Consider the following 27,513-nt stretch of genomic DNA (forward strand, 5'->3'; position numbering starts at 1 on the left):
CCTTGGCTACGTTTTCAGGGTTGGGGAGAATGTGGGGCCGAAAAGGCTGTGGAGTTGGGCTGCATGGTGGAGGCTTCCTGGTGGCTGAGCTAAGGAGTGGGGGCTCAGCCCTGTGAGTGAGGCTTTTCAGCAGATTGCCTTGTGGGGCGGTGGAGGGGGTACCAGGAGACCGCCACCCATCACAGGGAGTCCCCATAGAATTCCAGCTGACCAGAGGATCTTCCTGCTCGTGGCAGGACCATGACAAGCTTTGAAAGCCATGAGGTAGACGATGGGAGCCCACAAAGGAGGTGGTGACAAACAATTGCTTTATCAGAGAAACATTTTAGAAAGCCGCACAGGCTGCTGCAGGCGCCTGGGAGGGAAGAGTTGTGACCTGGGCCCCACCTCACTGGGCAGACGACGCTTAGTGTAAGGTGATATTCTCCAGTGACTCTGAGTAATGTTCCCAAAAATCTCATTCTCCTATTGCCTTTTCAGACCATTTCAGAGATGTTTTCTGTTTCTTTGTGATTGATCTTGGCTGTGGCTTTTGACACTGTGCGTCTCACTTTCTCTGCCCCCTGACCTCTGGTTAGGTAGTTAATGATCTTTAAACAAACACTTGAGTATTATGGCTCTCCAGGAAAGGTCCTGGGCTCATGGGCCATTAGCAACACACTCTCCCTTTATCCAGGGAGAAAATGAGTGTTCGTACACCCTGACTCGGTAGACAGGGATGCTTGCAACCTAAGTGTCAAAATTCTCTTTAGTTTAACTATTTTTGATGGCAGGTCTTCTGAAATATGTTACATATTTCTCTGCTTCAAATCCATGAACAGTTTCCTCTCATCTCAGAGACAGTGGATCATAGGTAGGAATGTTTGTTCATTTCAGGAACTTTTATTGGAGACTTTTCTATGTCTGTTCCTGATTTACAAACTGTGAATGCAGAAATCTGCCCAGTATAGTAGTCAGTGATATTTTAGAAACAGAGATAAGATCAGGTTACTCCTTTGCCTAAACTCCTCCAGTGACTTCCGGGCCTTGCACTCTACTGTGGGGCCCGAGCCTTGACCTCTGTGTTAGTCCGTTTTCACGCTGCTGATAAAGACATACCCAAGACTGGGTAATTTATTTTTTAAAAAAAAGAGGTTTAATGGACTCACAGTTCTGCGTGGCTGAGGAGGCTTCACAATCATGGTGGAAGGCGAAAGGCACGTCTTACATGGCACCAGGCAAGAGAGAGAATGAGAGCCAAGTTAAAGGGGTTTCCCCTTATAAAACAATCAGATCTAGTGAGACTCATTCACTACCAGTATGGGGGAAAGCACCCCTACAATTCAATTATCTCCCACCAGGTCCCTCCCACAACACATGGGAATTAAGGAAGCTACAATTCAAGATGAGATTTGGATGGGGACACAGCCAAACCATATCAGCCTCCCTCCCTGCTGTCTCCCTCCCCACCCTTGCTGTAGCCCTCCTGCCTCGGTGTATTCCCAGACTCACCAAGCTACTGCCCTCTTAGGGCTTGCACTTATCAGTTGCCCCATTTAGAGCTGTCTTTCTGTGGGTCTTCACACAGCTGTCTGCTTCTTATGCTAAGGTCTTAGCTCAAATTCACTTCTTCGAGACCTTTACCCCACCCAGGCCTTCTCTATCACATCACCTGGCCTTGTTTTCTTTATAGCATATGTTGTCTAATATAGTCATATAATATTAATGTAGATTAATATTATATAATTATATTAATATATATTTGCATGCATGTAATTTATATATTAATTTTATATTGATATGAATTGAATTAATATATATAATTTTTCCTATATAGGTAATTTTGTTGTTGCTGTTGTTTCAAGATATTAAGCTCTTTGGAAACAGAGGTCACTGTATTTCTTCCCCTAGAACAGTGCCTGGCACACAATAGGCACTCTGGGAATATGTGTTGAATGAATGAAGAGAGATCCTGCCCTAGGCTACCCACAAGCCAGCAGGCAGCAGATACACAATAGACAGTGACCATGCAGCAGGCTGTGGGATTCAGAGGGGCTGGGTTACCACTAAGGAGTCAGGGTCAAGTTCTGCCACTGGGAGTTGGGACAGGCTTTCCAGAGCAGTGGTGTTTGTCCCGGGCTTTAGAGGGCAAATGGGCACAGCTTGGCCAGCTGAGCAGCTGGGGAGGCCATTCTTGGGGGAGGAGGCAGGCAAACCTGGACAGAGGGCTGGAAAATGCTAGCATGATTGATGGAAGGGAGGAACTTGGAGGGACTGGAGCCTGGATTGGAGCAGGGGTGAAGGGAACTAAGGTAGTCAGGGATTTGGCTGCTATGACCCCTGCCTTTCCCCCAGAAGAACAGTGAGACTTGGAGAGTGGGGCCCTGGCCCTGCTTTGCTGGCGGCCCTCGGCCTTGTGCTTTCAGTGTGGTACCTGCTCTGGTCCAGAAGAGTGTGCCTGGGCCCCAGACCCCCCTTGGCTGGTCCTCACGGTGCCTGCAGGTGGTGGTAAGCACAGGATTCTCTAGCTGCAGCTCCCCTCTCCTCCCCACAGCCCCGAGGCTTGTTGGTTTCATGTGCTCTCTTGCTTACTCCCCATCAGGTGGTGAAGAAGGTGAAGTCCATGCAGATGTTCCACATGCCCATCACTTCAGCCATGCAAGGAGACCGGCTGGGCATCTGCGTCACCCAGTTTGACCCTAAGCTGCTGGAGCGCGGGTTGGTGTGTGCCCCCGAGTCCCTGCACACTGTCCATGCGGCCCTCATCTCTGTGGAAAAGATACCGTATTTCCGGGGGCCCCTGCAAACCAAGGCCAAGTTCCACATTACAGTGGGCCATGAAACAGTCATGGGCCGGTTGATGTTCTTCAGTCCTGCTCCAGATAACTTTGACCAGGAGCCTATACTGGACTCTTTCAACTTCTCTCAAGAATACCTTTTCCAGGAGCAGTACCTGTCCAAGGATTTGACACCAGCAGTGACAGACAATGATGAGGCCGACAAGAAGGCCGGCCAGGCCACAGAGGGCCATTGTCCTCGGCAGCAGTGGGCCCTGGTGGAGTTTGAGAAGCCCGTCACCTGCCCTCGGCTGTGCCTGGTGATTGGCTCCAGGCTAGATGCGGACATTCACACCAACACGTGCCGGCTAGCCTTCCATGGCATCCTGCTCCACGGGCTAGAGGACAGGAACTACGCCGACAGCTTCCTGCCCAGGCTGAAGGTGTACAAGCTGAAGCACAAGCATGGCCTTGTGGAGCGGGTGAGCATGCCCTTGCCTGGCCCCACACCCCTTCCCTTCTTGCTCGGGCAGCTGGGATCCATGGCCTGACATCTGTGATGAGAGCCAGAAAGGCCCTCAGAGACCTTCTGGTGCCAACCTCTGTAGTTTCTGTACAAGGCATCTGATGCCCAGAATGGTCAGGTGGCCACAGTTCTCTCAGCTGGTCAGTCACAGAGCCAGGGCCAGCACCTGGGCAGGGGGACCCCCACTGTACCCAATCCCACCCAGCTATCCCACCCCCACTTATTTACATGGTAGATGTGGCACCCATGGGTCTGAGCAGGTCTGGGCTCCCCCACAGCCAGTGTCAGATGGCAGCGGTTAGCACTGGCTTCCCTGGCCTGCTGCCCTGATCAGGCCCCACTCTCTTGACCTTGGTGGGCACTGTACCTCCATCCAGCTGGGATCTGCCCATGTGCCCCTGCAAGCTGCTTATGTCCAGAGGGAAACACTGCCCATCAGTGGTGCCAGGCCAGGTCTTTCCTCACCTGTGGACTGAGGGGAAGGGGCTAATGGTGGCCAGGTCTTTCCTCACCTGTGGACTGAGGGGAAGGGGCTAAGGGTGCCAGAGAGCAAGAGGAAGGAAGGTACAGGAAGCTGACACAGTGGGAGGTCCAGCCCCTGGCTACCTAGGGTGCCTGAAGTTCACCATCGCTAGATGCAGGCCTTAGGCATGTAGGTGAGCCAGTCTAGTTGAAGTAGGATGAGGCCCTGGCTGTGCCTTGCTGGGCGGCCCTTGGCCTTGTGCTTTCAGGGTGGTGCCTGCTCTGTCCCAGGAGACTCTGACTGGGCCCTGGGCCTCCCTCGGCTGGTCCTGTGGTGCATCAGCACCTGGGCCCAGTGCTGGGTGGGATGGGCCTGCCACTAGGGTGGACAGAACACGGTGGTCTCCCCCAAAGTAGTGGAATCACCTCCTCCCATGGGGCATCCATCCCCAGCAGCTGTCCACACAGTGCTGAGTGGGAATCCATGCCCATCGGGCCTTGAAGGCAGGATGGATGGACAGCCAAACCTTGCCGTCTCTTCTAGAAGGCTAGCTCCCTGGCTGTGGGTCCAAGCGGATCAGCAGCAGCTGTACTGGGACATGACTGGGCTTTGACTGGCTTAAAGAGCACGGAGTGCTGGCAACCCCACTGTCGGGGGCTCAGGCTCCTAGCAGGAGGGGTCTGCCCTGAGGCTTTCAACAAGGGCCTCAGTTCCTCACAGGAGCCTGATGAGGTCCCCTGGGTTTAGTGCAGGTGCCAGCACAACATCTGGCCCATCCACGGTGTCACATGTGGTGGGCTTCCATCGCCCACCCTCCGCTCCAGGTCTCCGTCCACAGGTTTTCTCCTCTGGGAGAAAATCCACTGGTTTTCTCGTCTGGAATTCTCTGTCACTGCAGCCCCTTCCCCTCCCTTTCTCCTTGTCTTAGGTTCTTCCTGGGTGCTCCACCCTGGCCCTCTTCTTTTCCTGCCCCTGTACCTAGACCTGCCCTCAAGTGGGGGACTGAGGAGCAACCCCTTCCTCTCCCTTCCTCAGACCCAGAGCTTGGACCCTTAGCTCCGGGGGGGCCGCTGGGGCCTGCTCAGGGCTCCATCAGCCTTAGGCCAGCCCCAAGATGCTGATTGAAGATGAAGGTGATAAAGTGTGTGTCACTCGTTTGTCTAGCCTGATTTATTAGCAGTGTTTGGAGTATAATTATTCTATAGTAAAATATCTATGAGAGAGTAATATCCCAATTGGTGTGGCTCCTGGGTCTAATTGCTCCCACTCAGGCCTGTCAACAGCGGTGCAGCAGTCACTTCCTTTGAGAACTGGGAGGGAGGGTCTGTGAGGAGCAAGTAAACATATGGCCTCAATGACTCATGCCTCCGAAGGGCTGAGGGAGGGGCCAGGAGACATGCCTGGCCTATGTCCTTCCACCAACCTGGGGCCACCAGCATTTTCCTGCTCAGTCCAGGGAGGCTGGAAGTGGAAGCACAAGAACTGTAGGCAGTCCACAGAAGCTGAGTCCAAATCCCATATAGACAACCCTGAGCAGAGACAGGCTTCCTCCAACCAGGGACAGCCTCACAGGGTGACTGTGGATGTGTGCAGAGGTGAGATCCTATGAGCCCAGGGCTTTGGTCGAGGAAGAAGGCCTTCCTGAGGCTCCACAAGGGAGGAAAGGGCATGGGTGCCCAGGCTAGGAGCAGCTCCCCCAACTCGCAACCCCCTGAGGCTCTAGCTGAATGGGCACCTGCCTTAATGCTAGGGGCTGGCTGTAGGCTGGGGCTTCTGTGCCACATGCTCTCCTCTGGGCCCCAGGGCAGGAATGAGCCTGCCTCCTGCCTCCCTCCACTCTGTCACCACTCTACTGATTAAGCATATACTATGCGCCTTTACTAGCTACATACTTTATTTTGAAACCGTTTAATAACCCTGAGGAAGAGGTCATTATTTTTCCTATGTACATTTTTCCCCAATTAAATCAATCAAATTATGTGCAAATATTTAGGAAAAGTAATATATGCACATGGTAAAAAATTTCAAACAAGACAATAATTATTCAGTGTAAGGAAGTTTTCTTCCTACGAACCCAGGTCCCCTCCCCAAAGGCAGCCAGACTGGAAACCAGCCCAAGAAATGTGAAGTGACCTGCCCAAGGTCACAGGGTAGTAAAGCTGGAGTTTGAACTCAGGACTAGCTGGTCTCTTTTGAGTCATGAAATTTCCACTTTGTCAGACAGATTCTTGCCCAGTGTGTCAAAAGAGTCTGCGTTCTCTTGAAAAGCTCGAATCTCCTTGGTGGGAGACTTTCCTTCCTGGTAAGGTGGAACTTGGAGATCATACAGAGTAGGCTCAAGCCCTTGCTGTACCCAAAACAGCTGTACGCCTTGGGCAGCCATTTAATCTCAATTGTTCATTCCTTCGAAGGATGGTCTTGACCTCATCAGGTTGTTTTGAAAGAGCCACCATAGCTTGTGGCTTCATATGTAAGAGCCGACTCTCATCAGGTGAAGCAAGAAGGTAGTGTTCCTGTTGCAGCTCCTGAGTGATTGGCTGAGTTTGTTCCAAAGGGGCAGCCCTGTTTGCTTTGAGTAGGCCCCAGATCACCCAGAGATTTTCAGGTCATCTTGCTTGACCAGGGGCTCAGCCATCCGACAGACTGGTCCAATGTGCAAGCCTGGGCTTTATTTACTCCCAGCCTTACCACCTGCTAGTGTGAAAAGTTGAGCAGACCATGAGACTTCCATGTTAAGTGGGAATTTTCACAGTGCTGCACCAGGGTTAGATGAAGGTGAGATGGGGGATTGCACATAAGGTTCTGAGATCAGTGCTTGTCTCCTACTGCATCGTTATTGTTTTATCATTATTAATGTTTAAGCTCTTAGAGTCAAAATAATAATGCCTGGAGCGTGGGTCCACTCTTTTCCCTGGGACTCCATTATTTCTCTTTGAAGCACAGGAGCCAATCCCCCTGGTCCCTATCAGGAGCCACACAGTTTTGGTTGAAGAGGGAGGGGCTGAGAGTCTGGTAGGCTCATGGGTGTGGTTATCCAGCGCAGGGGCCAGAGAAGTGCCCTATGCTCTTCTTTCCCCACCGTGCTTGGCTGACTCTAAAAATTCCTGGGCACATCACAGTTACTAGTCAGCTTTCTGGACATGTCTATTCAAAGAAGTTTCTGGAAGATCAGAGAATCTTGAAAAGGTGAAATCCAGTCTCTTGGGCAGAATCTCCACCACCTTGGTGAGCCAGCACCCAGCCTTTGCTCTGTGATTCGGGGCAAGGCCAGCACATCTACTTTGCAAGCACAGTTAGCCTTCTGAGAACCTGGGCTTGGGTCTCTGAGCTATCTCAGTTCATCACAAAGGGAGACCCTGGCACTATACCTATGTGTTAAGTGAGCACTTTCCGCCAGGGGGGCTTAAGGCATATAGGCCTTCTGATCCCATTTCCTATAAAGGCATCCTTCATTCATATATTCGGATGTTTACTGTGCTCCTACGTTTGTGCCAGGCACTGTGCATACAACAAGATAGACAAAGTTCTTGTCTTCCTAGGGGAGGCTAGTAGTGAACAGTAAATTAGACATTTTCAGGTTATAATAAGGTCTAGAAAGAAAATAACAGCGTGATGTAAATATGTGATGCTGAGGACAGTTATTGAAACACAGAAGATGCTAATTTCCAAGCCTCTGCAGACTGTGTTTTTATTTCCTGTGCGTCTGCATCACTGGCTCACACTGGAAGCTGGTCAGGTACCCTACCAGTTGTGGCTTAACTCATTAGTATTACATAGAGCAAACTATGGCCCATGGGCCAAACCTAAACAACTGCTCTTGCTCCAAATCTAATAATCTTAAACAAGCTTATTTTCTCTGGATTCTTCTTTCAGCTGCTTCGATCAAACACAATTTAATTAACTTACCATTGGTAAATGGCTTTCCTTGCTTGGCTAACAAATGAGCCACCCGGAAACCTACTTTGGTTGCAGCCTTATTCTTATTTTTTATTGTTTTGCGTGTCTGCTATGATGAAATATACTGTTTTAAGTTTTCTCTTTTTTGACATTGTTTTTCTGTGAGATGGGAATATCGTGATGTCAGTGTATCTCATATTCTGTTAACACAACTAATAACAAACACAGTACTTTGCCATGTAATGTGATAAAATAATAATCCATACCCACTGCGCCTTAAAAGTGTGACATTTGAAGTCCACTTTTCTTGTTTTCATGTGATGGGTATGCACCAGTAATAAAATAAATAAATAAATAAAATGTGTCACTGGGTGAGGTACTGCAAGTTGTAACTATGTTACCACCATCTGTAGTTTACTGAGCACCTCATCAGGTCTCAGACTCAGCTACTCAACTCTGCCACTGTGACACAAAGGCAGCCATAGACAATATGTAAACAAATGGGCATGACTGTGTTCCCATAAAACCTTTTGTTGTGAACATTGAAATTTAAATTTTATATAGTTTTCACATGTAACAAAATAATATTCTTTTGATATTCTCCAACTCATTAGAAAATATAAAAACCCTTCTTAGGTCACAGGCCATACAGAAACGTATCAGGAAGAATTTGACCCTTTGGCTATAGTTTTCCAACCCCTAATATAAATGGTTAATAGGGCTCTTGAAATAGAATGAGCACCCTGCGAGGAAAATGCTAATAATTATCTGCAGCTGAAAGCATTAAACCCTCTCAGCAGTCCTTAGGAATTGGGCTTTTTCTTGGGTGCCCACTGTCTCTGTGCTAACACTGGGATGCATATACTACTTTATGTGCTGTGTTTTTTATTCTTGGATACATTTGATTTTTTCACATAAGTCCACGTGTACTTCTATAAGAGTGTGACTTGTAATAAAGGGTTAATGAAGAAAAAAAAAAAAGAAGAAGAGGGAGCTTGGATTGGTAGAGACATCCAGAGGTCTCACCTGAGTGGGAGAAGAAAAGAAGTGAAAGTGTTCTAAATGGCTAATCTTTCTGGGGAGAGGGTTTAGGAAAGACTACTAGAGCATATGGTGATAAGGGAAATAGTTGGTATCCTGTTTCAAAGTAAAAATATAGAAATATGTGCAAGATTTTGAGTACAGAGAAAGGGAAAGAAACTATATGAATGCAGTGAAAATGTAATAGCACTTTCACATTCTCAGAGGAGAAACTGGAATGAATTTGATTAAACCAACAAAAATAAGGAAAAAAGAACAATGTTAATAAATAATAATAATAACAGAAGGAACAACATTAAGTATCAGTCATTACACTAAATGTGAATGGCCAAATTCTATTTAAATGCTAACGCTGAGAGATTGGGTTAAATACTGACAAAGGTAAAGAAGGACATCATGTAACGATAAAAGGCTCGGTTATAAACTTGTACATACCAAACATAAAAATAAAACAGTAGAAACCTAGGGACAGCTTGATAAAAGATGGAATTATAATGATAGGGTGGCACTTCAGAGTCCATATTTTAAAATCAGGCCTACTAGACATAAGGACAACGAGGCAGAATATATTCAATAAGCTTGATTTTTAGATAAATGTAAACTCTTACACTCCTTGAATAGAGTATACATTTTTTTTCCTATGGCTTGGAACATTTACAAAACTAAATATTCAGCAGTTGACATTAAACAAATATTTGTAGAACATCTACTGTGTGTTGTCTTAAGGGCTAGGGAGGTAACAGTGAATGAAAAAGACAAAATCTCTGCCCACATGGAACTTAGATTGTAGTTGTATTTGTGGCCACAGAGAAAAAACCCTAATAGATTTTAGAAAGTAAAATCATGAACCACTAAAATGAGAAACAAAGCAGTTATATATAGATATAGGCAGATATGGAGAGATACAAAGTGTGCATGCGTGTGTGTGTGTGTGTGCGTGTGCGTGTGTGTGTGTGTGCGTGTGTGTGTGTGTGTTCATTCTTTCACATATTCTAGTAAATTGCTCCTCATTTGATTAAGGCTGTTTCTCATACTATCATAGAATGTTGAATCTTAGTAATAAAATTTTTCTCTTTTTCAGTGTTCTTTCAATCTTTTGATTACTTTGCAGAGAAAGCTTTAGATTTGTTCAAAGATGTCTTTAACAGTCCTCTATTACATTCTAACCTGCTTTTTAACAAATGGAAAACAAGACCAAGATTCCAGAGCCTTCTAGTAGCAATAGTATGTAACTAGGATTATTCTTTGGGGGTTTTTTTGCATGGTATGTACTTTTACTATTAGCTTCCTCTGTTTATGGTTAGTGACTCTTTTCTTTAGGATACTATATAAAGTCTCCTTTCCAGGCAGATGTAAAGAAATATATTAGGTAAATAGTAGGTCGGGTATGCAAAGATCTGGCAAAAATGATGTGGGGTGAAGGATGTGTAAAAGCCGAGGCTGGAACCACTGGGTCCTGTCCCCAGGAGGTTACTTGCATCTCAGCCACATGCAGATTCAGACCAGCTGCTCCTCCTTTAGTGATCCAAAGCCTCATAGAAAACTGGGTCTTTCTAGTGGAGGACAGAGACTCATGCCTGCATCAGAGGAATATGCAGAGGGCTAGGAGAGGAAACAAGGAACTCTGCCAAGGTGGGAGGAAGTAGGCTGGTGAGGGAAAAGCACAAAATGGTGACCTTTTAAGTGTATCTTGTAAGACTGGAAGGTTCACTGCACAGACACTAGGGGCCATGTGGGGAAACAGGAAGGTGGAGGAGGGGCATTCCAGGTCCAGGGACTGCTTCTGTAAAGCATAGAGGCCAAATAATGCCTGGCCCTGGGCATCTGGGAGGGCAGGGACAGGGAGCTTAAAGAGGCAGGCAGGGCCAGCCATCGAAGCTAGGCCCTTCACCCTGCAGGGGGGAGTAATGCAGGTTGGGGGCTATGGGGGGTGTTCTAGGTCACCTGTGCTAGAGAAATCCTTGGAGCAGGGCCGGCCCAGGCAGCCTAGAGAGGGGAGGCTCAGCCTCTCTCACCTACCCTTCTGTATCCCAGTCTCGCCCTGAGGCTCTGGGCACCTGGTCGTCTGGAGCCGCAGAGCTCAATGGTCTGGGAGCCACTCACCCTATGGAGCCAGGCTTCTCCACTAGTAACAAATCATGACTTTTCAGGACTGTGTGAACATGAAGGAGGAGGTGAGGGTCTGGTGCTTAGGACAGTGAGTGCTCTGCAATACCTGCTGGCTTCCACAGCAGACTTCTCACTGTTACCACGCCCCAGGATGCCCTCCTCACCTCCCCAAGCCACCACCTTCTCATGGGTCTCACCATAGCCCTCTTTGCCCCTGGCAGCATGCATAGCTCCACCCCAGTAATTTTCTGCAAAACAAAGGGGGTCCTGCCAGCTCTTACTCAGAAATCTCTTTTAGGTCCACACCACCTGCAGGACAAAGACAATACCCAACCTTAGCATGTTAGCTGGCTGGCAGTTGGGTCCCAGGACATGGCAGGTATATGTGCTATATGTAACATGCTGAGTACTCCACCTGGCACAGAATGGGCCCTGGGTAAACAGTGGGTATCATCAGTACTATTTATTTGGACTTTCCTCTGGAAATGCAGATGCCTGGGTTCCCAGCTAGGGTGATAGCAGACACCATCCCCCTTCCACAGTGGTGGGATAAGGCCAGGTGTGCCAGCCATCCTGGGTCTGGCACCCACTGGCGCCGGTCAGGGAAGGCCTTAGGGCTGGGCCACAGGAGCTGGCAGCATTGGCCCAACCAAGTGTAAACATGCAGACGCCATCAGGAGCACTCGCCAGCTTTGAAGTCTGAAGCGGCGCTGCCTCCTGGCTCCTGGCTCTGCCCCACTCCACTGCTGACGGCTTGTTAAATGTGCCCAGGGCACCAGGGAGCGTGCTGGCCTGGGGTGCAGGCTGGCTCATGACCTGCCTCTGGCACAGCTTGGGCCCCATCATTCTCAGCAGGGATGGTCTGGCAGGCTTGGTGGGCCCTAGCGGGTCAGCTGCAGGGCCCCTCGCCCTTGCAGGAAGCCATGCTGTGGTCTAGCTGGCCACTGAGCCTGTTCTGCTGGCCCTCGCTCCCCTGGGTCCCTGCCAGAGGGTTGAAGGCCACATTGGCTCCCAGGCTACTTGAGAAAACAGAGGTTCCCCTGAAACAGAGGTTGAGAAGCTCTTTCCCCAGGGAGATGATCAAATGGCTGCCCTGGTATTCTGGTCCCAGCCCAAATCCTCAGCGTTTCTTCTGACTTCCAGTATCAGGCTGTGATAGCTAAGTGTCTTGCTTGGCTGCTGGAGTGCTTGTTCACCTTCCTTTGAAAATTGCTTTTTTGCCCATATAGAGACACAGGGTCAGGACAGCTTGATGTGCTGGAAAGAGCCAGTTCTGGAAACTGATGGACTGAGCTGGGCACAAGCTCGATGTGGCCGTGGGCAAGTCACTCTCCCCCAGAACCTGTTTCTTCTTTAAGAGCTGGTCAGGCGTTGATGAGACCTGGGCTACTTCAGGGCCTCTGCTCTTCCCACCACACCAGACCATGGCCTGCATTGAGGAGGAGACACTGTCCGTGGGGAAAGTTTTCTGATGATACTGGAACAACACCATCATCCTAGGTCCCCTTCCAGAATTTGTCAATCCTGGTGGCTTTCAAGTGGCCTAGAAGAGTTAACACCGCATTTTTAAGGGACTCATCCATGATCAGGCAGCCTCTGAGTTCTTCCCATTCCTCATTGGATCCAAGGACTGCTGGCTTCTGTCCTCCGAGAAGACTTTGCTGGTGGGGTGGGTAAGAGGGAGAGAAGCAGAGAGCTGTGGGCAGCTCCAAGCATGTGGTTGGTGTTGAGTACATGTTCTGTTCTTCTGGCTTCTCTTGGGCAGATTAGATAACTGGATCTTGTGATTTCTGTGCATCTGAGATCTCCTGCACCAAATGCTGTCTTATTCTTCTGCTTCTCCCACAATTTGACATCCACTAATTGAGATTCTTTCCTCTGGGTCATCCATTCTCTGTCAAGTCTTAGGTGTTATCATCAACATCAACACCCCTGATCCTAACAACAACCTTTTTCAAGGAGGAAACTGAGTTTCAGAGAAGTCCCTCGCTCAAGGTCATAGAGCTGTAAGAGGCAGAGTCAGAAGTCAGGCCTCCCAAGCCCTTCCTGTCCTGCGCACGTGGTTCTCCTCACCACAGACCTGGAATCGGCACAGGGCTCCATTTCATGGCACGTTTGCCTGCCTTCCTTCGTATCACTTCTACAATTTGAATTAGAATGGTCACTTCACAGCTTGGGCAATTCCCAAGCCTCATCATGGGAGCCAAGCCCTGAAAGAGGGACACACACACGTGTAATGACATAATTATATGCACCGGCAGCCAAGTCCTTGCTCAAAGGCCAGGGACAATGGGGACCCACCTGGCGTGTAAGCAAGCGCCTGGACTTCCATGTGCACAGTGACTGCTCCTCAGGAGCTCAGTCCCTCCAGTGACTGAAGGCTAATAAATAGAGCAAATTATTCATGCAAACAGTGAGAATCCCCACTTAGCGCCATTGTTGTAACTGTGCTGGCCTGGATTCAGGACTGTTCCCTAGAAGCAAGGCCTATTGAGCAGATCCCACATGCGTTGCCTTTGGTTTGACGTCACAATGATTGATTTCAAAATGAAAACCCTCCAACTGTTCTCTGAAGGTCTTTCCTCATTGGATGTGCTTGTGTCTGATCTCTGAGGTCTCTTTCCTTTAGCTGGAAGAATCTATAATTTGGTGAAGAACCCAACCATCACACATGCATGCACACACCTTCTAGTGATGGACAGGACAGAGCAAAGCCATGTTCCCCCATCCTCACCTCCTGACACTCAGGACAGATCATGACCCCTGGTCTTCCTGAAGTTCTCCAGAGATGTAGGCCTCACAGCATCCTGTAGGAATGTAGGAGCTGTCTCCCTCTTTCTAGCCAGACTTCCTTCTGATTAAATGAGGTTTCATGCAGCTGACAATCACTGAGTCCTTGCCCCCAGTACACACAGCAGTAATTTCCGGAGGTGTAGGTTTTGGAGATGCAAAAATGTGCTCAGACCAGCTCCTGCCTTCCAGGACTGCCTTCCTCCCCTCCCCGCATCCAGCTGGTGAGGCTGGCGTAGACAAGCCACTGCTGTGCTGAGAGACAGGCACACAGGCTTCTCTGTAGCCAATTCCCAGCGCAACCCTCTGTCTGGTTCTGAGGCCGGCAGTCTCTTAGAGGGGGCCTTCCATTAGTCAGCGATGTCTTCTCAGATCTGCAGGTGGCGGCCATTGAGTCGCAGGGGTGCACAGGCCCTGCATCTGCTGCCCCTGTAGTCCTGTGTGGTGTGTCTGAGGGAGTCCTAAGGGAGGGAGACTGGTCTGCCCAGGGAGGGGGCAGGCAGAGGCCAGACCAACAACAACTGTTTACAAGTGCTCCCCAGCACCCATTTAAACCTCCAGCAACTCTGTTTCCCCATATTATAGATGGAGAGATGCCTGCACCCACAGAGGTTAGGCCTCTGGCCAGAGTGCCTAGGCACCCAGACTTGGGATTCGAATGCAGGTAGTCTGGCTCTAGAGTCCAGGTTCTAACCTGTGATGTAAACAGTGCTGTGCCTTTTCTCTTATTCTATTGTCTCCAGTGTGCCCATTTTTTTCCAGTTATGGAGACCTGTACAGTAAATCCTCACTTAACATTGTCACTAGCTTCTTGGAAACCATGAGTTTAAGGGAAAGAACGTATAACAAAACCAATCTATTTTTTTCATTCATGTTATAACAAAATAACTTTGATATATATTCAAATAACTTTAAATGAAGCAACATTATTTAAGGGCCTACTGTACATTATTTTGTTTAAAGTAACAGTTTCTAAGAACTTATGATGACACCAAGTAAAGACTTTACTGGAAATTGAGTATTTGGAATTCATGGGAAGGGTAGTTTTCCTCTTGGCCCCTATAACCATAGGTGGGGAAAGTTTAGCCTCCCTCCAACAGCAGTGCAGTCCTTCTCAGTGTGGCAGGGGCTGACTGGGCTGGAACACCTTCCTGTGATGGTGAAGTGTTTGGGCCCCACTATAAGTGCTGCATCTTGAGGGCCAGGATCTGCCCTCTTTCCCTCCTCTCCTCCTCCCTTCCAAATAACCTGGTGGGGGCTGGGGTCCCTGAACTTGGGGATTGTCTTCTGCAATGACTTGGGGTTTCCCACAACTGGGACTAGCAGGGATGGGGCTGCCCAGTGCCCCTGGGCCGGACTTCTAGGCCCATTTGTGTCCAGTCAGTCATGACATGGCTCTGGTGAGCCCAAAGGATGGAGAAAGTCGTCTGGGCTCATTTGCTGCTTCGGCACCTCCCGGCAGACAGGGCCCAGCCCTTCCTGCAGCAGGAAAAGCACCAGCCTCTGGATCCAGACAGTCTGAGTTGGAATGGGGCATTGCCACACTCACTAGCTGCGTGACTTTGAGCAAATCATTTCATTTTACTGAGCCCCCTGTTCCCGACAGGGCTTTCCTAAAGATTAAATAATGATATGGGGACACCTCACCCATGACATGGCTGAGGACACTGCCGCTCACCTGCTGCTGGGAAAGGGGTGAGAGAGCAGAGTGCGAAGGATTGGGAGAGTTGGAGGGAGATGGGATTTACCTGCTGACTTCTCTCTGCTGCTCCAGCCTCCCCTCCCCTGGGGCAGCCATGCCCAGAGTGCCAGTGTCCTCTGTGGGACTGACACAAATGCAAAGATCCACCCAGCTGCTGTGAAATGACAGTGTGGGGCCACCAGCAGGCAGAAGACGCCAGCACTCTCGAGACCACACGGGGTTCCTGAACGTGTGCAGACGTCCAGCTCCTGCCCTCACGGTGCCTCCCCCACAAATGGAACTGCGGACACAGAAGTTCGCAGGAGAGTATGCTTCACCCACTCAGCACTATCATGTCTTCTGGCCAAGCCATAAAACAAGAGAGCAGGAGTGACAGAGACACTCCCTTTGAACTTGAAATCCTTTCTAAACTGCCACTCCAGCCCCAGAGGCCCTCCTCAGAAGGTCAAAAAAAGCCCACTCACTCCTCACCTTATCCCGGATGCTTAAAACAATTTTGTGGGAATGTAGGTCAGTGAACCGAGCTGCACCACACACCAGCAGGATTCCAGGGGCCAACCAGCCTGTGTGCTGGCCCACTAGGTCAGATGAGAACATAAACAAGGAACTCTGGGAGCCCTCAGCTTCCCCTGGCTCTAGTCCTTTGTTTATGTAGCACTTAAACTAACTTTGGGGTCATCTCTGTCTGGCATGAAAGCCCTGGAGCTTTTTGAAGTTCCCCTGAAGTTAATAAAATTAGTCTGCCCTCATTGCAAGACCCTGGCTTGGAGAAAGATAGATCCTCTGCTGTCTTTGTGGCATTTAGCTTTTTAAAGTTAATATTTTATAACCAAAAGAAAGGAGGGGGCAGGGGAGAAGATGCAGTAAACGTGTTCTGAAAGGCTAATAGGTAGCATGCCTGCTATCCCAGGCTCTGATTACCCTGGAGCCAGGCCTCCAGGCCCACTGGGAGGCTGAGCGATGGGCCTGCTGTGTTTAGCATGAGGGAACCAGCACTGGGGACGTGAATTGATCTGTCAGTGTGTTCTCCCAGGTAGATAGGAGGAAACTAGCCCGGGCTGGGCTGTTGGCTCACTCTCAGATGAATCGTGTCTCCCAAGGACATATCCACTTGAGTAATGTATTTCTACCTCCCGGCGTCTTCCCCTTGATGCCATGTGTGGGACTAGTGCAGTTGGCCTCCTCACACTCAGTGAGCGCCTGTTCACCAGGCCTGTAGTGGGTCAGGGCCACAGGAGGTGCACAGAACCCTTTCCTCGCAGAACTCCCAGTCCGAGGAGGGAGACAGATAGGTCAGCTGTCAGGGATAAGACATAGTGGCCAGGCTCTCAGAACAGAGGGATCTTGGCCTCAGTCCTGGGGGCCAAGGGGAGAGGAGGTGCCTGCAATGTCGGGGAAGCTGTCTGAAGGAGGAAATGTCCAAGGTGGGCCTTGGGTGGGGGTAGAGTCCCCGGTGCACAAGCTGGGACTAGCATTACAGGAGCACCACACAGGCGGGGAGGGAGGCATAACAGAGGGGCATGAGGACCCTGGGGGTGATAGATATGTTCATTAGCTTTATCATGGTGATGGTTTCACAGGCATGTATATGTATACACATATTTAGACTTATCCAATTATTTACTTTTAATATGTTCATGTTATTGTGTATCAGTTATAGCTGAATGAAGCTGTAAAAAAAAAAAAAAAAAAAGCCTACAGGCATGAGTGAGCCTTGCAAATGTACCAACAACTACAACCATGTATTCTTGCAACATTTACTCACACATTCAAGGAATAGATAGTAAGCGCCTGTTTTATGTGCAGGGAATGTAGCTATGGAGGAGAGGAACATGTTTCTGCCTGGAGCTTGTGCCTGGTTGGAAGCAATAAACAAGTAAACAGATAAGGTCAAAGGCATAACGTCAGGTGGCAATCTGTGCTCTGAAGAGAGACAGGGCAGGATGAAGATTGGAGAGGAGTAGGGGCTGGAGTACAGGAAGAGGGAGCCATGGGCCACAGGGAACGCTGTAGGCACCAGGCCTTGATTTGAGCCTGCTCAGGGCCAGGCCCTGCTGGGCACCAGGGGCTGCATAGAGATGGGGAGCTCATAGGATCTGTCGCTGAGAAGTGCAAAGGCTGTGGGCTGTGAGATGGAGGGAGAATTCTGTTATTTTCCTGTAGTACATGTGATTGTTCACAGCTACAGGCCCGTTTCATGGTAGGCTCTTATAGGAATAAAACAAGAATATTAATATCAGCTTGTTGAGAACTTTCTGCTCTGCTAAGGATACCTGCGTATATTATCCCTTTGGTCCTGGTGGGGCCTCTTACAAGCTGTTTCTCTGAGAAAGTTGTAAGCTCTTAGTCCAGGGACTGTGCCTTTTTTGTTTCTTGGCCACTGCAATGCTGGAGGACAGGTCTTATTTCTCAGTCAGATGTAACCCCAGGGCCTAGCTATGCAGAGGCCCGAGTAGTAGCTCTCTGGGGTGACCACAATGCATGAGAACTGATTAAAGCTGCCTGGGTGGGGACAGAGGGCTGCAATTGTCACCCTTGCTGGACCAGAAGCCATCAAAGGAAAATGTTCTGTCTTTGGAGAAGATGTCAGGAGAGGATGGGAGGTCCGCCTGGTGTGTGTGTAGAAGAAATGCACTTCTTGGTTTGTTTTTACATTTTTAAATTCTATTAACTTATTTGTAAACAGGTGATGCATTCATGTATTTCAGTAGCCAAAGATAGAAAAGGTGTATGGTGAAAAGTCCCCAGGCACCCTGCTCCCTTTCCTGGAGGCATCAGTTTCTCCTGATTCCTTCTGTGTATCCACCTCTGCCCTGCCCCCATCCATACACAGCCTGCAACATGCCCTTTGCCTCTCACTCTTCTTTTTAACGTGAAACACAATACTCTGGTTTTTGTATCTGTCCATACACACTGCCTACTCTCCTCTGTGGTCACATCATCATCTCTAGAGGCTGTGCTCCACTTCTTGAACTCAGGCTGGACTTCTAAGTCATTGTCAGCTTTTGCTGCTGCAGTGAGTGACCTTGGGTGGAGCTCCCATCTTCTCCTGACATCTTCTCCAGCAAGCACATCAGCGGGATGCATTCCTAGAAGTGAAATTGATGGTCCAGATGGTGTGTGCATTGCTCATTTCCATAACAGCTGCCAGACTGGTGGGCACTTCTTATCATGGGGCCCAAGTTTGCTACTGGAGGCAGGATCTACAGAGCAGGGGTGGGGTGAGGAGCTGGGTGGGGCAGGCAAGGCCACCTGGCCATGCTGCCATCCCAAAAGCAGTACCTGGGCTGGAGCTGCCAGAGACTCAGAAGGGAGGGAGTGACACTTCCAGTCGCTGATCAAGCCTCTAGGGAGAAGGTTCAGGATGAACATAGCTCATGGTGAAATCAGGGCTGCACCAAGCTGACTTTTTCACAGACATGTGTGTCCCTCCTCTCAGCCTGGGCACCCACAAAGAGACAGCAGCGGCCAACATGGCCAGCAGGAGGTATGAGCTCTGCAAAGACCTGGCCATGGCCAACAGGGGCCAGGGAAACGAGCAATTCTGCCTGGACTGAGGGAGGGTGTCATGGAGGTAGGGAGGTAGGGCTGTGGAGGAAAAGTGGGCCAGGCCAAGACAGGCTTCCAGGCACAGCTAGAGTGAGCAAGAGTAAAGCCTTGGGCCACTGTACATAGGGGTGTGTGCAGCGGGTGGGAGACAAAGGCCAGGCTCTCGGGCTCCTGTGGGAGGGGAAACCAGAGTGAGGAGGCCAGTTCTAGAAGGCCTTGGATGCAGGCTCAGGAGCGGCCCGGGTGACTGTGACAGCTTCAAGGAGAGTGCTCTGGGCAGGTGCCCTGGGGACAGGCTGGGTCATTGTGGCCCCCCAGGGGTGGGGGGGGCCTGCAACAGGGGCTTGAATTCAAAGCTACTTCTATCCCCTGTGCTCTGTGACCTTGGATAGATGACAGAACTCTGCCGTGCCTCCATTTCCTCATCTGTAAAGTGGCGCCACAGAGCTGCTGTGGGGACTGAGGTGCTATCTGTGGAAAGTGCTCACAGCATGCCTGTTTTGAAGGGCCCGTTGTTATAGTGGCAGTTGCCAGTCTCAGGTTTCTGCCCTGCTCCCATGCATTTTGTTATCTGTTAGGTGGGCTCATCACCAGGCTACCCACAGGGTTCCTAGAGCGGGCAGCAGCCAGCCATGCCTAGGGCCCGGGAGAGCTGGGGCTAGGCACACAGTCACAGCTCTTTCAGTGTGCACCACTAATGCCCTCTCTCTGTGGCTGGGTGTGTGGGGACAGGCGATGGATGACTACAGTGTGATCGGCCGCTCCCTGTTCAAAAAGGAAACCAACATCCAGCTCTTCGTGGGGCTCAAGGTGCACTTGTCCACTGGGGAACTGGGCATCATCGACAGTGCCTTCGGCCAGAGCGGCAAGTTCAAGATCCACATCCCAGGTAAGTGCAGCCACTTCCTCCCGGTTTAGGGACACCGTGCAGGGCACAGAGAGATGGCAGAGGTGATGCCAAGGTGGCGCTCCTTGGCTTAGGTTCCTAATCCTGCCTTTGCCGAGACACGGGGTGACTTGGCCTGCCTGGCAGCATGGCCTCTGGCTGGGAAGCCAGTATGGGTTCTGGGAAGAGCCTGGATGTGGAGTGAAGATCTGGTCTGAGCAGGGTCAAGATTGGAGTCTGAGTTCCCACTGCACCATTTACCATCTGAGGGGGCCTTGGGCCCGCACCTTGGTTTCTCTGTGGAGGCGGGAATAAGATTGAGCCTACAGGCAGTTTGGAGAAGAGCAGGTGAGGGAGACCGCTGGGGGCCTGGCATACTGTCCTGGCACGTGGTAAGGTTTCCAGGGATGTGAGTTGTCACCCTCCTTTGCCCAGCACAGACCCCCAGGCTCAGCACCACCTGCTGAGTTTGTGCTGGGGCCTCTCCGTGGGCTGGGTCAGAGGGTGTGTGTTTGCTGCTGGAGAGCCCTTGGATTTTGTCAGTGAACTCATCCTTCAATCACTTGTGCATTTATTCAGCCTACACTGCATCATGTTCTTCTGTGTTGCAAGCATTGTGCTTGGTGCTGGGGATATGGAGCTTACAGTTGTAGGAAGGTACAAACAATAAACATACTAAAGAAATCCCTGTCAGATGGGAGTAGGCACCACGTAGAAAGATAAAGCAGGGACGAGATGGAATTGCTGAGCATGCTGCTTTGGATAGGGTGATCAGGGAAGGACAGAGGGAGGGAAGGAGCCACATGGGTAGTCAGGGAGAGCATGCCACAGCGAGGGGGAAGTGAATGTTAAGGTCCTGAGGTGACAGTGAGCTTCAAGTGCATTTGCAGGTCAGTTGTTTGGCAAAAGTGTGCTGAGCAGAGAGGTGTGCAGGACATAGGCCAGGGTTCATACTGTGCGCTGGGGACCGTGGGAAGGACTAAAGCCTGTGTTCGTATGAATGGGTCATGAGCCACTATCTTTTTTTTAGAGAAAGGGTCTTACCCTGTCTGTGGAATAGAATGTGGTGATGCAATCAAGGCTCACTAAAGCCTTGACCTCCCAGGCTCAAACCATCCTCCTGCTTCAGCCTCCTGAATAGCTGGGACTCAGTTGTGTGCCACCACCCCCAGCTCCCCACTGTCCTTTATCTCCTGTACAATTGTACCAGATACAACCAATCCAGTACAATTCTGTTGTATTTCATAATACAGTAAAAATTACAAAAATTTTCAAACATACAGCAAAGTTGAAGATTTTACAGGGAACACCTTTACCCACTCCTGATTTTATATTGACATGTTACTGTCCTCTACATAACTCCAGGACTCGAGGTTGATCCTGTGAGGATGGAAAGCTGTGGGGAGGTTTGGATCAGGGGAACAACCAAGGTTGGTTTATGGCTTCTTGTGTCAAATCTCCTAAAGAGAAGGTGGTGCCCTGGCTCCAGCTGGAAAACAGAGACCCCAGCTGCCTCCGTGCTCACAGGTGGCATGAGCACCCTTCCCTCTCCTGACAGCCTTGCCAGGGAACCCCTTCCTTTCAAAGTCCTTCCACTGCCCAGAGATAGCATCTGCCTTCTCATGAGCAAGGGCAATGGTCACAGAGGCATTGCTTCTCCAGGGCACTTTGTTCCCTGTTAGCAGCCCCTAAGGCCTCTGTCAAGGTGGGGCTGGGGCAAGGGAGGCAGAGGCACCCAGCCATGGGAGGCCTCCAGCGGTGAAGCTCTAAAATTCTGTCCTGTCCTCCCCACTTCTCCATAGTGGCTCTGAGTCCTCACCTCAGCCAAACAGGAGTCTTTGTGCATCGCTTCAGTTTGGCTGTGGGTTGTCCTCAGAGACTGGAGCCCACAGGGCCCCTCTCTGGACTCCAGGGAGCATGCAGGGGGCATGAGCCAGACAGGCCAGCGTCCAGACCTCAGTCCCCAAGGGCCTCGTGCCTATGCCTGCCTGGGCTATTGTGAGCTTTCTGGGAGGGAAGGATCCCGGGATTCTTCCAGCTGGGTCGGGGGCCATACTGAGGAGCACTGATCCTTCCCCTAAACAGCTCTGGGGCCCTGCTGGACCAGGCAGAGGGAAGAGCTTATGGTCTTCTCCTTTGGGAACTGCTAGGATCACGCTGACCTCCCCTGAGCTCCCTTCCTGTAGCCCAAGGCAAACTCAGAGCTGGGGTATTCCCAGGGCAGGCAAGAACCAAGAGGAGTCTTGGTTGGGCTGCTGGGGTGGGAGTGAAGGGAGCCTCTCGGGGTGCTGGGGCGGGAGTGGAGGGAGCCTCTCAGGGTGCTGGGGTAGGAGTGGAGGGAGCCTCTCGGGGTGCTGGGGTGGGAGTGGAGGGAGGAGGGGTATAGGGACACTGCCTCAGTCCACTAGAGTTCACATTCCTTCGTCTGGTCAATGTTGACTTTTTAGTCTGCCTGCTTCCTGTTTGTGGCTTTTAAGCTTTTTATTAAATATCACTGGTCAGATTCCTCCATCCCACCCACCACCTTCCATCCCTCCCACCCCCACTCCCTGCTGATTCCTCCCTTTTAACCTTTTTGAAGTGCCTTAATTGTGAAAGAATCTTCAGGAAGCCTGAGCCATCCAGTGCCAGGTGAAGGGAGAGAGAGTGCATTGCTAGCTGCAGCCTGGACATGCAGGGTGGGGAAGCCTGGGTTTTGGTGCCATGAGAGGTAAGGCTCCCAGCCTGCAGCTCGTGGACAGGGCTGGGTTCAGATGCACTTCATGGGCCTCGCTGCCGGCTCTACAGGGCATCCGGGCTGGGAAAGGCAGAATGAAGAGTCCCCTGGGTTTCCTCCCATCAGCCTTTCACCTTGGGTTGCAAGGTCAGATGCCAGGAAGGCCAAGCAGGTGTTGAAGAGGCCAGGTGGCAGGTGATAGGGAGTGGTGGGGACTATGGTGACCTGGAGAGCTGCTGTGTGGGTCCTGCCAACTCTTCACTATATGGGAACGTAGGCCTGGGGTCTCATTTTATCTAATTTTATTTTTATGTAATATCTCCTGATTAAAAACTACAACTGTCTGTGCTAAACAAAGCATGCCTTTGGCCTGGTTTGAGCCCTAGCAACTCGTAACTCCTGTTTGAATTTTAGAAAGGACACTTGGCCCTCAGGTTCACGAGGTGAAGCTGAACCGTAATATGCAAACAGTATGTTTTAAGGAGCCACAGACACTTGCCTCAGAGACAAGGGTCCTGATGCTAGGGCTGTTGACTCCCAGAATGTGCTGTGGGAAATCAGAGGGCTGGGGGACGGCCCCATCCTTCCTGATATCCAAGGAGCCTTCCCAGAGAGTCTTGGGGGATCTCAAGGTTGGAAAGCCCCGTATTTACAAAACATCTCCCTTCAAAGACCTTGCCATTTGCAGAATTGTACTTCATGGGAGGATAGGAGGCCTGACAAGCTGCCAGTAGGAACCTACTGGGGAATTCTGCTGGTGGTGAGAGAGTAGTTGGAGGAAGGAGCTGGACATGGAGGAGGTTCCTGTCCAAGTCATAGCATCACTTGTAATTCCCAAGGGTTGTAGGGTGGAGTGAGTCTTGTTATCTCCATCTCACAGGTGGGAGCCGGGTAGCAGAGAGCCTGAGGGCTTTGCCCACGGTCTGTCTGTGTCACCTCACCCCTCTCCATCAGCTCTGTTGATGCCCCTAGAGAGCAGTCATGTCTTCAAAGAATCTGGAGCTGGGAGGCCCATGTGGTGCTTGGAGAAGCACTGCACCTGGGAGGCTGCGCTCCCAAAGCTCATCTTGGCAAGCCGTCTGTCCCACCGCTGCCACCCTCCCCTCTGCCTCAGTGTGCCAGGCATCAGCACTCACTCACAGAGGCAGGCTGGATGGCGGGTGGGACAACAGCTTCCGCAGCCCCTCCTGTTCCCACTTTGCAGGGAGAAAAGAACACCTTGATGACTCCCAACTGGAGAAGAATCATGTGAGAAGCTGAATAGACTTGTTCCTAATGACAGCTCTGAGTCACTGGGCATTTACTCTAGGACAGAAAAGGGCACACATGTGCCCGTGATCTTATCTCCTGAAGCAATGCTCTGTAAATCTAAAATCTCCCAGGGCTGTTGTTTTGTGTACCTGCCAAGATGTGGCAAGCTTTTTGAATGGCCCAAATTCATGATAGGTGGCCCCTCTCCCACAGGGTGCTCCTGAACCAGCTGATTTGGGACAGTTCATGTGTGTGTCTGCTTTAGCATTGAGGGGCACGCGGAGCTTAAAGCCTTGTTACTGGAAAGCCCCAGGCCCCTATTACCACTCGCGTGCCCATGTGTCACTGATTCTCACCAGGTAACAACTGACCATGGAACAGAGCTGCAAGTGCTTACCTCATACTAGCCAGAGAGCCGTGATTGAGAACATAGCCCACTCAAGGCCACAGCCGCGGCCTCATCCTAGCAGCGGGTGCTGCTCACGTGCCGGGAGCTCAAAAGGGTACTCATATCTCAGGCACTTGGTCTTGTGAGTAGCCAGAATTCTCATTCAAACCCTAAAATAGAGATCTTACTTTTGGTGATCTTTAATAACCTTTTGATTATTACTAATCACAAATTAATGTACTCCAGATGAGAAAAAGAAAAAAAATTTGTAGAACCATACTTACAGTTAAGACCCCAGAAGGAGCTTCTATTTACTGATTATCAGGGAGAGCCAGCACTCAGGAGGAGGAGAAACAGCCCCCAAAATGTGAGCTATGATGTATAGCAGTTGGGCTGCCCGCTGTACAGCTGAGGAGACTGGGGCTGGCAGGATGGGCAGTGCAGTTGCTGGTGTTCCCATTGCAACAAGCACCTCGTTTCACTGCACAAGCAGACCATTTCAAACCGCTCTGCTGCATGCCAGGGCTAGGATAGTCTGTGCCCAGGGAGGTGTGCCACAGAGGTGGGCACTCAGCGCAAGAAAGCCAGAACAAAGCAGACACTTGGGCAAAGGTAGCAAACATCCACACCTGAGATTCGAACCCAGAGCACCTCACTCTCAACCACTCTGCTCGAGACTCCCCACACCATGATGCCTTATAGGCAGGGCTGGGGGTGAGGCACTGAAGTGTATCTCCCTTCCTCAGGGTATGCGGGAGAAGGGAAGGGTTGGTCATTCAGCTCAGTGGGCCCTTGGACAGAGGGCCTGAAATGACTACCCTATGGCCCCTGGGAAGAGGGAGTCAGGAAAGCCACTTCTGCTCACCTCTGAAGAGGGTCCTGAGGAGGGCTCCTGGGCCATCCTGCACCCAATGCTGCCCCTGTGCCCACCCCCAGGGCTGCAGGGGCTGTGACTCTGAATTATGCCCATCAGTGTGCCATGCAGAAGGGGATGGATTTACATGGAATAGGAAGTGTTGCTTGCATGAATGAATAAATGAAGGAGTTTGGTGGAATAGACTGGACTGGAATGAACAAATGAATGTACCCAGGCCCACGAGGGCCACTCTCAGCTCTGTTTTCTGCAGCCTCACAGTGGAGGCCAAACAGCCTGGTGCTTTGTGTGCTACAGGCTTCCCCAGAACCTCAGCAATGCGGGCAGACACCAACCTCATCAGACTCCCTCAGAAGCTGCTGCCTAGGAACAGAGCTTGGGGGAGGGCTCGAGTTTCCTGATCTTTAAAACAAGGGGGCCAGGCACAGTGGCTCACCCCTGTAATCTCAGCACTCTGGGAGGCCGAGGCAAGAGAATTGCTTGAAGCCAGGAGTTTAAGACCAGCCTGGGCAGCAAAGCGAGACCCCATCCCTACAAAAATGTAAATAAATTAATCAATCCAGGGTTTGCCAGTCCATTTAGCTCGGCAAACTTAGTTGAGGCTTAGGGCTCGGGCGGGGGATACTGAGATCCTTCTCAGAGTCCTGTCCCAAGGTGCTTTCCCTGTGGGACAGGCAGAGACATGAGCAGCCATTCACAGTCAGCATGGCAAGTGGCCACTGGGACGTGTGGCTGGGAATGGGGGAAAGTGGCCATCCTGAGAGGAGGGCCAGAGCAAGCTTCCTGGAGGAGTAGCCTTCTGAGCAGAAGGGCGAGCGGGGAGCAGAAGGCTGCATAGAGAGCTAGAATCAGATGTGTGATGTTCGCTAGAACCCTGTGGCCAGTGGTCAGTCCAGCCTCATGGCCAGGGTCAGGAAAAGGCCAGGACAGTGGAAAGACCATGGGATGGGGAGTCGGGAACCTGGCCCTCATACCTGCCCTGAGCTCCAGTTCCTTCGCCTACACAGTGGGCATGTGAATTCTCAGACTGCCCCTCCAGGGCCTCTTCCAGCCTCATTCATCTACTGCTGACTCTGCCAGTGCTCAAGCCACTCCTCTGTGGAGTGCACCTGACCCCCAGGCCCTGCAGCACTGCTGTGGGGATGCACTGGCAGGAAGCAGGGGCTGGGAAGGCCAAGAGCACCTCCCAAACCCTGTCCCGGAGCTGCCATTTAGTCTAGCCCTCCACAGCCTGCATGGCAGCGTGGCCCCAACCCACAGGTGAGGAAACAGGCCCTTTGCTCACATCTACACTGCTAGTAAGTGAATGGGCCAGAGTTCTCTGTCTGCCCCAGGGAGATCGAGCAGAGGGGCCAGCAGGAGTAAGTGGGCACAGCATACCTGCTGCTGAGGGCAGTGCCAGCCCTGCCAGCTGGCTCTGCTCCCTTAGCCCTGCAGCCTTCTCCCAGGACTCTGGGGTTCCAGCTGGTAGCCCGTGGCCCCTGTGCTGAATCAGGTGTCTCAGGGCTCAGCATGGTATCCCATCCCATCCTCCTCTGTCCCTCATCACAATTTATTGGGCCCTCCGTGTACAGACCTGTCTAGGTGCTGGAGGGGGTCAGAGGTGAAACAAGGCCTGGGTGGGGAGGGGGCTCCCTGAGTGGATGGAGAGCCCTGGGCCAACACCCAGTGGGACAACTCCTCTGTGAACCACTCTCTGGTTTAGGAGAGGGACGGGTCAGACGAGGCCAAGGTTGCAGGGGCCGCTGGGCTAGTTACCTGGAGGGTCTCCTGGGGCATCCCAGGCTCCCTTCTGATTGGGACCAGCCACTTTCCAGTCTGTGCTTCAGCTTCTTCAGTGCTAACCCAGAGCTAGTCATTCTGATTTCCAGGAAGGCTGAAAATTTAATCATAGAATCCCTGGAGAGGACTGCCTATAGTATCCACTTACGGCAGGGGCTCCCTAAGTGGTGGCTGGAATTGTGTGCTGTGTGCACCCACCCCTCACCTGCCAGCCCTTCCTCTTGGTGGGGTAGCTCACATGTCCACTGAGGGCCTCACTTTATCCTCCCACCCATGCCCTGTCCCTACCACAGAGCACTGGGAAACGATGCCTGTAGGAGCCCCGGTGCTGCATTCATGCCAGGCTGCTTCACAGGAGATTAACCAGCCACCTTTCAAGCAGGGATTGGCTGTGCCACAAGGACCTCTCCAATTTATTGACCCTGGAAAGCACTTTGCATGGTCAAAAACAAGGATTATACCTTTCCCTCCTGATTGAAAACAGAAGCCAAATCATAGAGGCATCCCCCAGATGCCCCGCTTTGCCTCAGCCGTTGGATGGCCAATGTCTCTCCCGGGACCAGTACAGGGCAGAGCAGCAAGTGCTTCAGCTCAGCCCAGAAGCTGATGCACCTCTCTGTTGACCAGGCAACAGATTGTCAGGGGCTCTCAGACCCAGGTTCACAAGGTGGCAGATTTGTCAGGGCCTAAGTCCCAGAAGCTCTATTTGCTAGAAATATGGGTCATTTAGTATGGACTGGGCCAGGCCTGCAGGAGTTGGGGACACACCCCTTCAGTGGTTTT

The 27,513-nt window shown here is 51.0% G+C and overlaps 1 protein-coding gene across 11 annotated transcripts in view, besides 4 other annotated features; it reads left to right on the forward strand.

Annotated features, from left to right (window-relative positions):
* Positions 1-27,513, forward strand: part of EEFSEC (eukaryotic elongation factor, selenocysteine-tRNA specific) — a 272,743-nt gene that overhangs the window by 185,171 nt on the left and 60,059 nt on the right. For 6 of the 11 annotated variants that reach the window (NM_021937.5, NM_001437812.1, NM_001437811.1 and 3 more), the window contains 2 exons: positions 2,582-3,238; positions 19,566-19,722. In NM_021937.5, coding sequence (NP_068756.2) covers positions 2,582-3,238; positions 19,566-19,722 — 814 coding nt within the window. Of the gene's footprint in view, positions 1-2,334; positions 2,488-2,581; positions 3,239-19,565; positions 19,723-27,513 lie in introns of all 11 variants that reach the window. The other 5 variants (XM_024453695.2, NM_001437809.1, NM_001437814.1 and 2 more) reach the window with 3 other exon arrangements.
* Positions 4,777-5,190: a silencer, noted in NCBI's record as "fragment chr3:128062271-128062684 (GRCh37/hg19 assembly coordinates)". NCBI's record gives its function as "represses an EF-1alpha promoter that drives an FKBP-Casp9 reporter gene in an ReSE screen in K562 erythroleukemia cells {active_cell/tissue: K562}" and the evidence as "EXISTENCE:reporter gene assay evidence [ECO:0000049][PMID:32094911]".
* Positions 10,055-10,349: a silencer, noted in NCBI's record as "tiled region #13692; HepG2 Repressive non-DNase unmatched - State 7:EnhWF, and K562 Repressive DNase matched - State 23:Low". NCBI's record gives its function as "represses a minimal TATA promoter and a strong SV40 promoter by Sharpr-MPRA in HepG2 and K562 cells {active_cell/tissue: HepG2 | K562}" and the evidence as "EXISTENCE:reporter gene assay evidence [ECO:0000049][PMID:27701403]".
* Positions 10,055-10,409: a biological region, named in NCBI's record as "Sharpr-MPRA regulatory regions 13692 and 14760".
* Positions 10,115-10,409: a silencer, noted in NCBI's record as "tiled region #14760; HepG2 Repressive non-DNase unmatched - State 7:EnhWF, and K562 Repressive DNase unmatched - State 23:Low". NCBI's record gives its function as "represses a minimal TATA promoter and a strong SV40 promoter by Sharpr-MPRA in HepG2 and K562 cells {active_cell/tissue: HepG2 | K562}" and the evidence as "EXISTENCE:reporter gene assay evidence [ECO:0000049][PMID:27701403]".

Source organism: Homo sapiens, chromosome 3, assembly GCF_000001405.40.
Source record: "Homo sapiens chromosome 3, GRCh38.p14 Primary Assembly".
NCBI lineage: Eukaryota > Metazoa > Chordata > Mammalia > Primates > Hominidae > Homo > Homo sapiens.